Genomic DNA, 14453 nt, shown 5'->3' with positions numbered 1-14453 from the left:
TGATTGGGTGTTCCTTCTTTGCGACCAATACAAAGTAGGAAACAAACTCAGTTTACTGGCAACAAGGGGGCTCAAACAACAGGCAGATTGATTATCTACAAATTGAACAGGCCCCGGATGTAGTGAATGCAGGCAAGGTTGGTTCAGTGGCTGTGTAATGTCACAAGGACTGAGGTTGTGGGGGCCAAGAGAGAACTTTCCCCTTGGCCCTTTAAAGGTTGGCTGGAAAATCGCTGACATGAGGCAGATTGGTTAATAGGAAAAAAAGGTGTACAAGTGTATTTAACGTGTATACACAGGAGCCTTCGAAACGAAGACTCAACTTCCCAATAAGGTAGAGAAGCTTATGTGCCAACTTGAGGTTTCAGAAAGAAAGGGGCCTTGGATTCTGATAAAACAGGTTATGGGAACATGGAGAAGAGGAAGTCTATTGATGGGAATAAATGATTATTCAGGAGAATGATTGAATGGGGAACAGAAATTAAGTTGTAAATAGTTCTCTTTGGAAATTAAGTGATCCTTGGAGATAGTCATCATCTTGAAAAAGGGTCCATTCAGGTGGTTACATTTTGGTCTTACAGGGAGGGGAAGAAAACTGTTCTCCTTGATAGGTCTGGATCTTAGGCAGATAATGGAACTTCAGTTTCTTTGGAAGAAACGGTGGAAGGTCAGAGAGACCTTGAGTCTTGTTCTTCAGTTCAGCATGTCGTATTTTGGGGTACTGGTTTCTGAAAACCAACAGGTTCTTTCCATCTTTCTGTCCTTCCATCCTCCATGTCCCAGCTCTGTCCTCAACCTGTTCCCTTTTTAGGGCTGCTGATAGAGGTGTAGTGTGGTGGTTGTTAAAAGGAAAACTGTAGAGAAATTTAACAAAGTTTAATGGAGCAAAGAATGATTCATGAATTGGGCAGCCCCCTGAAACAGAATAGGCTTAGGGCAACTCCAGGGTTGCCATATGGTCCAATACTATTTATGGACAAAAAAAGTAAAGTGGCGTATGGAAGATGGAAGTGAGGTAAACAGAAACAATCAGATTGGTTACAGCTCAGAGTTGGTCTTATTTGAACGTGGTTTGAACAGTTGGCTGCCTGTGATCAGCCAAATCTCAGCTGCTGTGATTGGTTGAGACTTGGCGACTTGTTGTAAGAGTAGGTTGTGGTGTGTTTACACATCCAGTTAGGTGACAGTTCACTATGTATTAAGAAACCTTTAGTCCCGACTGAAAATATCTAAAGAAGAAGCTGTAGACTAAATTCAATTTAACAAGACTAAATCATGGACTGGAGTTCAAATCTCAGCTCTCTTGCTTAGAAGTCATGCCTCAGTCTCCTCATATGCAAAGTAGAGGAAAATGGAGGAATTTATCCCACTTGGTTGTGCTAAAAGATAAACTGGTTTTATTAAAATAGTAAAGAGTTTATTCGAACAGAGAGCAGTTCATGAATCAGGCGGCTCCAGATTGCCAGCAGTCCACAGCTCCAACAAAGGATCCTGAGGGGAGGATTTTTATAAGGTGCACGGAGAGGCAAGACAAAGAAAACATCTGGCTGGTTTAAGTGCGGCAGTAGCCTAATTTGATTCATTTCAGTGCACAGTTCCTAGTTAGAGTTTACTTGGCAGTTTCTGATTAAACTTAAGTTTTGTTCTACTTCAACACTGAATTGGGTTTTGGTTTACTTATACAGGAACCCAGGGTGCTGGAGTTGCCTCAATGTAATGCCCTCCCAATTAATTAGCTGTTGCGATCATACAAGGAATAAATGCTGTCTGCCTTATTTATCATTTTCTTGGCTGAATCTGACTATGCTAATTCCAGACTTCAGACCCACAATATACAGTGAAGGAAGAAGAACCATTCTTTCCAGTGTCTTTGTCTTTCTGTTAGCCTAGAGGGCGCATGTAGATTAATTAGGAAACATATCCCCTTCCTTGAACCCCCACGCTGGATGCTTTCTCACCTGAGGGTGACTTGTGTGCATTAGACAACAATGCCCATTTGCTTTGTGTAAAGACAAAAGTGTTCTTTCTGGGTACCTGCCTCTCCACACTCCTCATGGGCTGGTGAGCAGAAATCATATGGGTCCACCCTAAATTTCCTGGGCTGTGTGCTGTTGCTTCAAACCCTATCTCAAATGCCACTTAATTTGCTTACACTGTATCTTTAAAATGGAAACTTTCATCTTCCATCATATCTTATAATTATTTGTTTGTATTTAATTCCCCACATCTGACAGTGATCTCCACAGTGTCTTTTGCAAATGTTCTTAAATGTTTGTTCATACTACTTAATCTCTACGGAATGGTACTGGATCACTTTAACTTTAGGAGGTGGTGCCTTCTTAGACCTGATAAATCAAGTTTAGCTTAAAGCTGCCTCCTTACATATTTTAAGTTTGGTCTAAAGGTTTCTCCATACATTGTAAACTCTAACCTGACTGGATGTGTAAATAGACTGTAACCTACTCTTGTGCCACTCACTGAGCTTTGGTCAATCACAGGTGCACAACTGTTCAAGTCATGTTCAAATAAGACAAACTGAGCTGTAACCAATGGGCTGTTTTTGTACCTCATTTTAGTTTTCTGTAAGTCACTTTCCTTCTATCCATAAATCTTCCACCATGTGGCTGTGCTGGAGTCTCTCTGAGCCTACTCTGGCTTGGAAGACTGCCTGATTTGCTAATCATTCTTTGCTCAAATTAAACTCTGTTAAATTTAGTTAGTCCAGGGTTTTTTTTTTGTTTGTTTTTTTAAAATCAAATCTTCAGTGACTCTTTATGGTGGTCAATTATGGCCAGGATGGATAGGAGACTACCATGCAGAAAAGTATGAGAGAGACTTGAAAACCATGCAGTGATCTTTAAAACCCTCTGAATATGTATTTTCAAATGCTGCTTTCATAAGTCATTAACCATAATTTATTGAATGTGTACTATGTGTATGGCATTGTACTAGATCCTTTATAAACCATATAGAATTTTTATAGTAACCTTGAAAAGTATGTGTTATTATATCCACTGTACATATTGGGGGGACTGGAGGCTTAGAAAGTGGAAGTCGAGGCTTGCACACACTTATTATGAAAGGCCAGCTGGCATGATAGTGGTTCACCCTGAACAGCAGATGGAACTGATAACAGGCCCATTAAATTATGGGCCAAATAGTTTGCAACCTTAAGAAATCCCTGTGAAATGTTCATAGAATATTAACTTCTTATCTTATCAAAGAAAATTTTAACCCATTGAAATATAAGATTTGTGTTAGGGTCTGAATGGCCAACCATTTTTTTTTTTCTGTATGTGTTTGAGAATAATGTGTTTTGCAATTTTTACATGCAGTATTTTATATAAGCTTATGGTACAGCTTGTTTATTGTATAATTTAAAACTTCCTTGTCCTTACTAACTTTTGTCTGTTTATTCTATTGCTAAAAGTGGTATAGTAAATACACTACAATAATGCATTTGTCAATTTATCTTTAGTTATGTCACTTTCTGCTTCATATATTTTGAGACCATGTTATTAGGTACATAAAATATAATAATTATATTTTTTTCTGGCAAACTGAAGCTTATTATAAATGACCCTCTTTGTTGCGAGTAATGCCTTTTGCATTTACAACTGATGGAGACAGGACGCAGCCAAAAGTCCCTGGTGAAACCCCGCCTTCAAGCCTAAAACAGCCTGAAGGATGAAAAACCAGACTTCTGGTGCCTGATGAAGCCTGCCCTTTCCTGACTGATTCTAAATAATGCCTACCTGCCAACTGGGAAGGCAGGGTGGAGCCTTCGGAAATTCATGACCTTCGCAGGGGAGAGGAGCTTGGCCTCTCCTATTCCTGTGTGGTGACCTGGGATTCAAACTGTGAGGCGGAAAACCTGCTAGCAGGAGTCTCGCTTTGCTGAGAGTTATTTTTCTTTTCCTTTTTATCCAATAAATTCCGTCTTCTCACGCTTCTATGTGTCTGTGACCCTACTCTTTCCTGGTCGTGTGACAAGAGCCTGGTTTTAGCTGACCTAAGAAGAAAGTTCTGCAACATTTTTGGTGTCCAGACGTGAGTCTTGAGGAAGGGTGAGTACATGCAAATCAAAAAATCTTTTTTTTTTCCTTTCGCTTCTAAGCCTTTTTGTCCTTGTACCTCTTCTGGGGGTAGAGGAAACTGCGCACCACCCCACCCCAAGGGCTGCAGGTGTGTGCGGCATGGACCAGTGAATGGCGGCTCCCCCGGTCCCTTCCCGGCCAGGGCTGGAGTGTATGGCTCGAGGCTGCGCACCAGCAGGCTGGCCAGCACTCCCTCCACTTGTCCATGGAGGCTTCCCCTCCCCTGGCCAAGGGGACCCACTCTGTCCGACAGCAATTAAGTTTCTTTCCCTGGTGGAGGAACCATTTGCATAAGAATAAGAGGTTCTTCCCCAGGCATCTTTTTCTTTTCTTTTTTTCTGAGAGGAGTCTCACTCTGTCGCCCAGGCTGGAGTGCAGTGGCGCGACCTAGACTCACTGCAACCTCCACCTCCCGGGTTCAAGCGATTCTCCTGCCTCAGCCTCCCAAGTAGCTGGGATTGCGCCACCATGCCCTGCTAATTTTTGTATTTTTAGTAGAGACGAGGTTTCACCAGGTTGGCCAGGCTGATCTCGAACTCCTGACCTCAGGTGATCTGCCCGCCTCAGCCTCCCAAAGTGCTGTTACTACAGGCGTGACCCACCGCGACCGGCTGGCATCATTTTTTTTTTCCTCCACCCTGTCAGCAGTTAACACAGCCCTGCATTTAAGCTGTCTTTTCCTTTTCTCCGCCGGGTCAGGAGTTAACTTTTAAGTGAGGCTATTTTGCTTTTTAGAAGATGTTTTACTAGGCCAGGACCCCAACTGTCACTGTCTATATTCTCTGTAAAGTTTTAATGATGAAAAAGGATTTGTTAGGTTGGCCTTAAATTGCAGCCAATCCAGTGTGCTTTGCCTGGCATTCTGCATGGTCAGCAGCAAACTTTGCTGCGGGCCTCCATCTTGTTTTACCTCCTTGGGAACCTGACCTGTAACCAGGTGACAATGCTTCGTTTAGCCTCCCCCATTTTACCATGGCAGCCAGATTCAGTCCTGGCTTAGGGAATGAGTCCTTTCTGGTTTGGTGTCTGTGCGACCCTTGCTATTTGTTGATTCTCTTCCCCTCCCAAACTGCCTTGGATTTTCCTTTCTCTGAGTCTTTAGTAAAGTTTGAAAGTCAGAAATATTGTCTGCTTGGTCTGGTTAAAGTCAGGTAATAGGGGATTTAAAAAGATTTTCTTAAAAAGCACCCAGCTTAATTAAAAGTGGATATCCAAGTCACAGGTATATTTAAAAGGCCTTTATGTTTTTCTTTTCTAGGACCTCATTTTGTTGGGAAAAGGTGTGTTTTTTTTTTTTTTTTTGGTCGGCTGAAGTATTTTTCTCCATTTTGCCTTGCCACTTTTAATGGACACATGAGAAGGGAGAGACCTCTGTTTTTCTCCTGGAACCCCAGGAATTAAAGGCAGATAGACCCCTCTCAAAATTTGTTTTTGCTTCCCAGTTATGCCTCTTATGCCTTAAAAGCCGCACATTTTCCTAGCCTAACTCAAAAGTCTTCCCTCCGGAGGCCAATAATCCAATTAGGAGATTGGCAAACGAAAAAATCTTATGGCTGCTGGATTTTCTTCTGCTTGTCTGTGTAGTTATATATGTGTTGTGTGTGCGAGATGTCCATAAAAAATAGCTCTAATTAATTGGCCCAAAGGAAGACAAGTGCTAGGATCAAATATTTTTTAAAGGGAAGATAAAAGCTGTGGTACCGTTTAGATCACGACTTTAATCTGAGAAATAAAAACAGCCTTAAAAATTATTGGTAAAATGCAGATGTCATCAAAATGTAAATAGGTAAACTAAATTATGCAGGTCAGATACTAGATTTGCTAAGTGTATTGAGGTTATAAACTGCCTTTTTGGTCTTTAAGAGCTTTTCACCTTGCAATGGCATGATCTCGGCTCACTGCAACCTCCACCTCCCCAGTTTAAGGGATTCTCCTGCCTCAGCCTCCTGAGTAGCTGGGATTACAGGCACCCACCACCATGCCTGGCTAATTTTTGTATTTTTAGTAGAGGCGGGGTTTCACCACGTTGGCCAGGCTGGTCTTGAATTCCGGACCTCAGGTGACCCACCCGCTTAGGCCTCCCAAAGTACTGGGATTATGGACTTCAGATGTTATCTGAGAGAATGCACAAGACAGACGCAGAGGACGCTGAGCAGTGGTTGAGTAGGTGACCCTAGAGATGAATTCCAATGCTAAGCTTAATTAACCAGTCAGCACATTGGGGATTCTAAAGCCTCTATCTCAAATTCTTTTCACATTTGTCACAGTCCTTTTGAGCCAAGAAGTTCACCCTATAGGAGAGAGAGAGAAAAAAAAAGAAAAAAAAAGGAAGGAATAAAAAAGAAGCAGAAAGTTCACCCTATAAATACTGGAAGAGGGTAGAGTTTTCTTTTTTTTTAATTAATTTTTATTGAGGTAAAATATACATATATAATTTACCATCTTTACCATTTTTAAGTGTACACTACAGTAGTAATAAATTAGTTTACATTCTTTTTTTCCTTCATTCCTCCTCCCCTTCTCCATCCTGGCCTCTGGGTAACCACGAATCTATCTTCATTAGATCCACTTTTTTAGCTCTCCATATGCACGAGAACATGCAGTATTTGTCTGTGTTTGGCTTATTTCACTTAACATAATGTCTTCCAGTTCCATTCATGTTGCTGCAAATGACAGAACTTCATTTCTTTTCATGACTGAATAATATTCCACTGTGTATATCTACTACATTTTCTTTATCCATTCACCTGTTGATGGGGACTTAGGCTGAGCCCATATTTTGGCTATTGTGAATACTGCTGTAATAAACATGGGAGTGTAGATCCTTCTTTGATTTCTTTTCTTTGGCTATATACTCAGAGTGGAGTTGCTGGATCATATGGTAATTCTATTTTTAGTTTTTGAGGAACAGCCAGACTGTTTCTAATTTACATTCCCACCAACAGTGTATGAGGGATCCCCTTTCTCCACATCCTCACCAACATCTGTTGTTACCTGCCTTTTTGATATAAGCCATTGTAATGGGGTGAGATGGTAGTTCATTTTTTTTTTTTTTTAGACAGAGTCTCGCTCTGCTGCCTAGGCTGGAGTACAGTGGCACAATCTTGGCTCACTGCAACCTCTATTTCCCAGTTTCAAGCAATTCTTGTGTCTCTGCCTCCCGAGTAGCTGAGATTACAGGTGCGTGTCACCATGCCTGGCTAATTTTTTGTATTTTCAGTAGAGATGGGGTTTTGCCATGTCAGCAAGGCTGGTCTCAAACTCCTGGCCTCAAGTGATCTGCCCATCTCCAGCTCCCAAAGTGCTGGGATTACAGGTGTGAGCCACCATGCCTGGCCTGTAGTTTTGATTTGTGTTTCTTTGATGATTAATGATGTCGAACTTTTTTTATATATCTGTTGGCAATTTTTTTTTTTTTTAGACAGGGTCTTACTCTGTCACTCATGCTGGAGTGCAGTGGTATGATCATAGCTCACTGCAGCCTCAACCTCCTGGGCTCAGGTGATGCTCCTACCTCAGCCTCCTGAGTAGCTGGGACTATAGGCATGTGCCACCATGCTGGGATAATTTTTATTTTTTGAATTTTTGTAGGGACGGGGTTTCTCCGTGTTGCCCAGGCTGGTCTTGAACTCATGGGCTCAAGTGATCCACCCATATTGGCCTTCCAAAGTGCTGAGACTATAGGCATGAGCCACTGTGCCCGACCTGTATGTCTCCTTTTGAGAAATGTCTGTTCAGATCTTTTGCCCATTTTGATTTCAATTATTATTATTATTTTGCTGTTGAGTTGTTTGAACTCCTTATATGTTCTAGTTATTAATCCCTTGTTCAGTAAATAGTTAGCAAATATTTTCTCTCATTATGTATGTGGTCTCTTTACTTTGCTGATTGTTTCCTTGGCTGTGCACAAGCTTTTTAGCTTGATGTAATCACAATTGTCTATTTTTGCTTTGGTTGCCTGTGCTTCTGAGGTTTGACCCCCAAAATCTATGCACAGATCAATGTCCTGGAGCATTCCCTCAAGTTTTTTTTTTCTAGTAATTTCATAGTTTCAGGTCTTAGATTCAAGTCTTTACATTGAGTTGATTTTTGTGTATGGTGAGAGATAGAGGTTTCATTCCTCTACATATAGTTATCCAGTTTCCTTAGCACCATTTATTGAAAAGACTATCCTTTTCACATTGTATGTTCTTGGTGCCTTTGTTGAAAATGAGCTGGTTGTGCTGGGTGCGGTGGCTCACACTTGTAATCCCAGCACTTTGGGAGGCCTAGGTGGGTGGATCACTTGAGGTCAGGAGTTTGAGACCAGCCTGGTCAACATGGTGAAACCCTGTCTCTACTAAAAATGCAAAATTAGCCAGGTGTGCTGGTGTGCACCTGTAGTCCCAGCTACTTGGGAGGCTGAGGTGGCAAAATTGCTTGAACCCAGGAAGCAGAGGTTGCAGTGAGCTGAGATTGTTCCACTGCACTCCAGCCTGCATGACATAGCAAGACTCTGTCTCAAAAAAAAAAAAAAAAAAGAAAAGAAAAGAAAAAAAGAAAATGAGGTGGTTGTAAATGTGTAGATTTATATCTGGGTTCTCCATTCTGTCTTATTGGTATATGTTTTCATGCCAGTACCACACTGTTTTGGTTACTATAGTTTTGTAGTAAATTCTGAAGTCATGTAGTATTATGTCTCTAGCTTTGTTCTTTTTACTCAGGATTTCTTTGGGTATTCAAGGTCTTTTGTGGTTCCATATAAATTTTAAGATTGCTTTTCTTATGTCTATGAGGAAAGTCATTGATATTTTGAATCCCTTCTCTCATTTTCCCTCCCTCCTTCCTGCCCCTCTCCTTCCTTTCTTCCCTTCTTCCCTTCCTTTCCTCAACTGCTCAAAAGTATATCTAGTGAGCACTGCACTTTCAATTTCACTAAGAAAAGCAGCCAAATAGAGCTAGCTAAGGTGGGCAGCAGTGGGTGGTATCTGAGTTTTGGTGGCTGAATCCATGGGTCCCCTATCTTCCTCTACTCCTGCGTTCCTGTCCTTCACCCTTTATTGCTCCACATCTCCATGATTGGTGAAAAATGTCCTTTCCACACAGTTTTCAACAGGCAAATGTGATGGCATCTAATGCAGCTTAATTCCTCTTATGTCCTTGCTTTTCATTTTCTCCTTTCGCTCTTCTTCCTCACTTTCTCTCCTCCAGGATCCTTTTGGCTTGTCTCGAAGTTCCTTCTGATTCCTTTGGGCTGTCAGCTCCGGGGGCCGTGTGAGGGGCAGGGGGAAGATGTGTTTGGGTCCATGCCTGCTAGCTGGCACGAGGAGCACGTTGTGGGGCACACGTATGCATGGAGCCATTGGGAAAAGCTCTCACATCTAACTGTGTTTCCCTAGACAAGTACAGACAATCACCAGGAACTAAGGAACAAGAAGCATCCAACCCTGCATCTGTGGGTTTCCTGAGGTGACTCTCAATTGTCATAGGTGAGCTTGCTCCCCTCCTGCTCTCCACCCTTACACTGCCAAGAGCAAGAGCGTAGAAAGACATAAGGGATGCGGTGGAGCCAAAAAGCTAAAAGTTTTTTTCTGTCTGATTTGTTCAGGGGTGAAGAGTGAGTGAGGAAACCCTTGGAGCACTTGTTTGCTTCACAGACATCCTGACCTCCTTTCAACTGTAAAGACTTAGTCAGAGGACGGCGGCTCCCTCAGCCTCATTCTGCAGTTCCAATGACACTTTTTACAAAGGCTCTGTACTTGTCTGATTCTTAAATATTCCAGTTTTTGAACTTTGCTGCAGTAGTTGTATTCGAAATGGGTTAATTGTCTCATTTTCTTTTTAATGCCTACTCTTTCAAGGCTCAAATCTTGAATAGGTCAAAAAGAGCAAGAGGAAAATGTCAGAGAATGGAGAAAGGCAAATACAGAGAAGCAGTGTGAACATCCACCCGGCGAGGTGACCTGATGGTGCTGCTCCATGTCAGAGACAGTAGTGTCTGGGAAGAGGGAGCCCTTTCCACAGGGTGGAGCAAAAGGCCTGGAGCTGACACCTGGCTCCTGGGCCCACTCGCCCACCACCTCGAGCAACTCCCTTCCTTAACGTCTGCCCGAGTGTTAAGGGCTGAGCACATGACCTCACAGGAGGATGTGAGGGGCAGCGGTAACATGTGTCTAGCACTTTGTCCCTTATAAGTCACTCACAAATACTTATATCCTTATTATCTTCATCCTTTTCTCTTGAGTTTTTCTCTAATTCTTTAAGAAGGAAACACGTAGCCAGGAAGTGGAGAGCCTCTCACATACTTGGGGAGTTTTCATATTTCCCCCATCAGTTCCTTTTCTGGCCTGAGCTCATGCTCCCTAAGATCAGGGCTTGGGCTTTGTTTTAGTCTGTGTTGTTATAAAAGAATATCCAACAGTGTGTAATTTATAAAGAAAAGAGGTTGACTTGGCTCATGGTTCTGCAGGCTGTACAGGAACAAGCTTGGCTCCAGCATCTGCTTGGCTTCTAGGGAGGCCTCAGGAAGCCTTTACTCATGGGGGAAGGCAAAGGGGAGCAGGCATTATGTGAGAGGAAGGAAGAGAGAGGCAGGGGAGGTGCCAGGCCCTTTTAAACAATCAGCGCCCATGGGAAATAACAGAGCCAGAACTCACTCATTAACTTCAGAATGGCACCAAGCCAGTCATAAGGATCCACCTCCATGACCCAGACACCTGCCACCAGGCCACGCCCAGTATCAGGGATCACATTTTAACGTGAGACTCGGAGGGGACAAACATCCAAATCACATCTGGCCCCATAACCTTTGGAGACCTCAGCTCTGGCGCTAGGGTGGTAGGTCCCCTAAGGGTTCGTGCTCTCTGAAGGAATTGGGTTACATTACCTGGGAGAGCTTTCTGGAGGAAGTGAGCTTTGCTTCTCACAGGTTTCTATAAGGAGAAGGATGGGCTGTTGGAAAGGGAGTGAGTGTGTGTCCAAGTGAGGGAAAGTGAGGTTCAGCATCTTGGTGCTCTTGGCTCAGCTTCCCTTTCTATGCCATGCACAGTGCCTCCAGGATGCCAGGGGGTGCCATCCCTGACCTGTTCTGGGGTGGGTGTGCAAGATGCGAAATGGCTAATTTCAGTTCACTGGTAACTCTAACATTTGGATAATAATTGGCCATAGCATTAGCTTTGGTTATACATCTCCAAATGTGTTATTACATTATATATATATATATATATATATATATATATATATATATATGCACACACACACGTATACATATATACACACATCTACACTGTATTGATATGTTGATATATTGATGTTATGAATTATTTTAAAGAGTATTCTATTGATGTAGAGGATAATATGAAATTCAATATTTTCTGGCACTCTTTTTAAATGATACTTAGGCCATCTGATGAAAACAGAGCTCAGTAAAGATTTCTTATTGATAAATCAACATTACAAATGAAGACTAGTTTCATTGCCATGATCAGTAAATTAAGGGTCATAAATTAACTGTTGAGTTATTTTCTTTGCACTATTAAGCCTTCCACTCAATCTTTCTACAGTCTTTCTTATTTAGCAAACGGTGTTACTTGATAGAAACCTCTGCTGTGATTTTGTTTTTTGAAATTTAATAAGAAAGCTATATAATACAATTCTCGGGGGAAAACAAGCAAGGTAGGTTTTTCACGGTAACCTCCAAGCAGAGAAATGGTTTCAGTGCGCAGTCCAGTGAATTTCCTCCATAGAGTGTGCTGGAAGAAGTCACCTGGAAGTGATCACCAGAGTGATATTCAGTTTGACTCTCATTGGTTTGTATATAATTGATTATATATAAAAACAAATGCCAGGGTGAGGGTGGGACTAGAGTCCCCCTTTCAGGCTCCTCCCCTTGCATTTCCATCTGGTCTTGCAGCAAGTTAACCACGGTCCTATCTTCAGGTTCAATTACTCCCTTTAAAAAATAGGTTTTAACACCTATGTATCTCTCAACATTATATTGTTTTATTTTGAAAAATTGAATAATAACCACACACCTAGCTTTGGAAGCAAGAGGCTTCATGGCCAGGATCAGATAAATGATCCTCTTAGAGTGGGTGGGACCTCAGCATCCCAGAGCGTGTGGAAGAGTGCCTGCCAGGAAGCCACCAGACAAGGTCCTAAGTACATGCATGGAAACACTGGGCACGATGCTGACTGTGGCATGGGCCAAAAAGTGACATGGGGCAGAACTTCAGTGGGAGGAGGGGTGCTCTGTACGTTCAGCTTCTAAGCCCACTGTGGCCTTCCTCTTAGGGTTTCACAGAGCCAAGCAGAAAAGGAGCACAGGTGACCTTGGCAGGAAGGCATGCATGGGAGAGCAGGTCTGCACTCTGGGACACCAGCCTCAACAGGTCTGTCTCTTGATCACGCTGGCGACAAGCTGTCATCGTGAGATTTCCTCCCCTCCTGGGGATTGCCTTGGCCTCTGTCTCTGTTGAATTGAATCCCGTTTCCTCCATTCTAGTGGGGTTTTTTTTTGTTTTGTTTTGTTTTTTTTAACAAGGACTCTTGCTCTGTCACCAGGCTGGTGTGCAGTGGCGCGATTTCGGCTCACTGCAACCTCCGCCTCCTGGGTTCAAGCGATTCTCCTGCTGCAGCCTCCCTAGTAGCTGGGATTAGAGGTGTGTCCCACCATGCCCAGCTAATTTTTGTATTTTTAGTAGAGATGAGGTTTCACCATGTTGGCCAGGATAGTCTTGAACTGCTGACCTCAGGTGGTCCACCCGCCTCGGTCTTCCAAGTGCTGGGATTACAGGCGTGAGCCACTGGCATCCGGCATTGCAGGTCTTTTTCTCTCTTAGTTTTTTCTCTCACTTTGGTGATGAGCATTCTCCTGGAGATATTTAAGAAGTTCCAAAAGAGATACATTTTTTTTGAGGTTTTGCAGGTTTGAAAATGTTTCTATGCAACCCCCCATGCTTCACTGATAGTTTGGATATGGATTTCTAGGTTAGAAATCACTTCCCTTCAGTGTTTTGATAGGTTGCTCATTTATCTTCTTCCTTCAGGCTGTTGAGACATTCAAAGCTATTTTAACTCTTCATGCTTTCTATATAAATTGTTCCCCCGACCCCTGCTTTAAGACTGTAGAATTTTCTCCTTGGCCCCAATATTATGAAATTTCCAGAAAATGTTTTTTGTTGTGTGTTTGCTTTACACATTTTGTTGGACATTTGGTGGGTCCTTTCAGTTGTGGGAAACTTTCTTGAGTTATTTCATCTATAATTTCTTCTAATGCACTATCTATGCTCTCTCTTTCCAGACCTCCTATTTGAATATTGGACCTCCTGATCTAGTTCTTTAGTTTTCTCACTTTATGTTTTCTTCAATATTCCATCTCTTTGTTCTACTTTCTGGAGAGAACTTCAACTTTACCCTTTAACTTTCTTAAACTTTCTTTTGTGTTTTCATTTTGAGCTTTTACTTCTCAAGTGTTTTTCAAATGCTGTCTATTATTCTCTGTATGTTTCTCTTCATAGTATCCTGTTTTTCTCATGCATGTGATATCTTATTTTATACCTCTGATGACATTAACTTTTGGCTGATGCATTTTTTTTTTGCTTAATGTCAATTTTATACAATTGCTTTTCTCTGCTTGTCTTCTTTTCTGCTCTCTATGTTATCAATTTTTCTCATGAACCTGGTAGTTTTTGTTTTGCTGCTCATGATTAAGAGGAATCTGAAAATCTCACCAGAAATGTTTGTGTACAGCAGTGACTTATTGATTTTGAGTTTATTATAAGGTAATCTGAGTGGGCGATTCACTGATTCACTAGGTCTTTTCTGTTAAAAGTCTGTGGAAAAGACTCTATGCATCTTGTGTTCTTAAAAGTTAAAGGTCTGGCTTCTAGCATCCTAGGAGATAGGATGCAGGAATAAAAAGACTGGACATTTAAAATTTAGCTTTTAACACCCCTATAATCATTTAATCTCCTTTTTGTCTCTATAGGACACAACTCCTTTTATTTGCAAGGCATCAGATATTCCTTGTTTAACTTTTACTGTAGAATAAAGCTTTAAACTTTTGGGGTGGGGTTAGATCAGTCACCCAAAGAGCACTGAGTAGGAAAGATATCCCGGGGGCTAAAAGCCTGTCAAGGAACTTTCACCCCATCTCTATATTTTCCTCCCTTCCCTCTATCCTTCGTTCCAGAGGTAACTGGTGCCACCGCTTTCTCATCTTTTAAGGATTCTGACATTTAAATTGGTTTGGATCTCAGCTTTCTCTTCTGGAGGCACTGGATTTAGTTCTCTTGAGCTGCTAATTACTACTTGTCCATCTGTTGCTGCTGTCTCTTATCTTCTCTTCATCATCCAGCACATGTGTCTTTGTGTGTG

The 14453-nt window shown here is 42.0% G+C and overlaps 2 annotated features.

Annotated features, from left to right (window-relative positions):
• Window positions 3720-4293: an enhancer, noted in NCBI's record as "H3K4me1 hESC enhancer chr8:54326531-54327104 (GRCh37/hg19 assembly coordinates)". NCBI's record gives its function as "activates a minimal SCP1, AML or CMV promoter by ChIP-STARR-seq in naive H9 embryonic stem cells {active_cell/tissue: H9 hESC(naive)}" and the evidence as "EXISTENCE:reporter gene assay evidence [ECO:0000049][PMID:30033119]".
• Window positions 4294-4868: an enhancer, noted in NCBI's record as "H3K4me1 hESC enhancer chr8:54325956-54326530 (GRCh37/hg19 assembly coordinates)". NCBI's record gives its function as "activates a minimal SCP1, AML or CMV promoter by ChIP-STARR-seq in naive H9 embryonic stem cells {active_cell/tissue: H9 hESC(naive)}" and the evidence as "EXISTENCE:reporter gene assay evidence [ECO:0000049][PMID:30033119]".

Source organism: Homo sapiens, chromosome 8, assembly GCF_000001405.40.
Source record: "Homo sapiens chromosome 8, GRCh38.p14 Primary Assembly".
Lineage (NCBI taxonomy): Eukaryota > Metazoa > Chordata > Mammalia > Primates > Hominidae > Homo > Homo sapiens.
The sequence above is the reverse complement of the archived record's forward strand: the minus strand, read 5'-3'. Positions and strand labels throughout refer to the sequence as shown.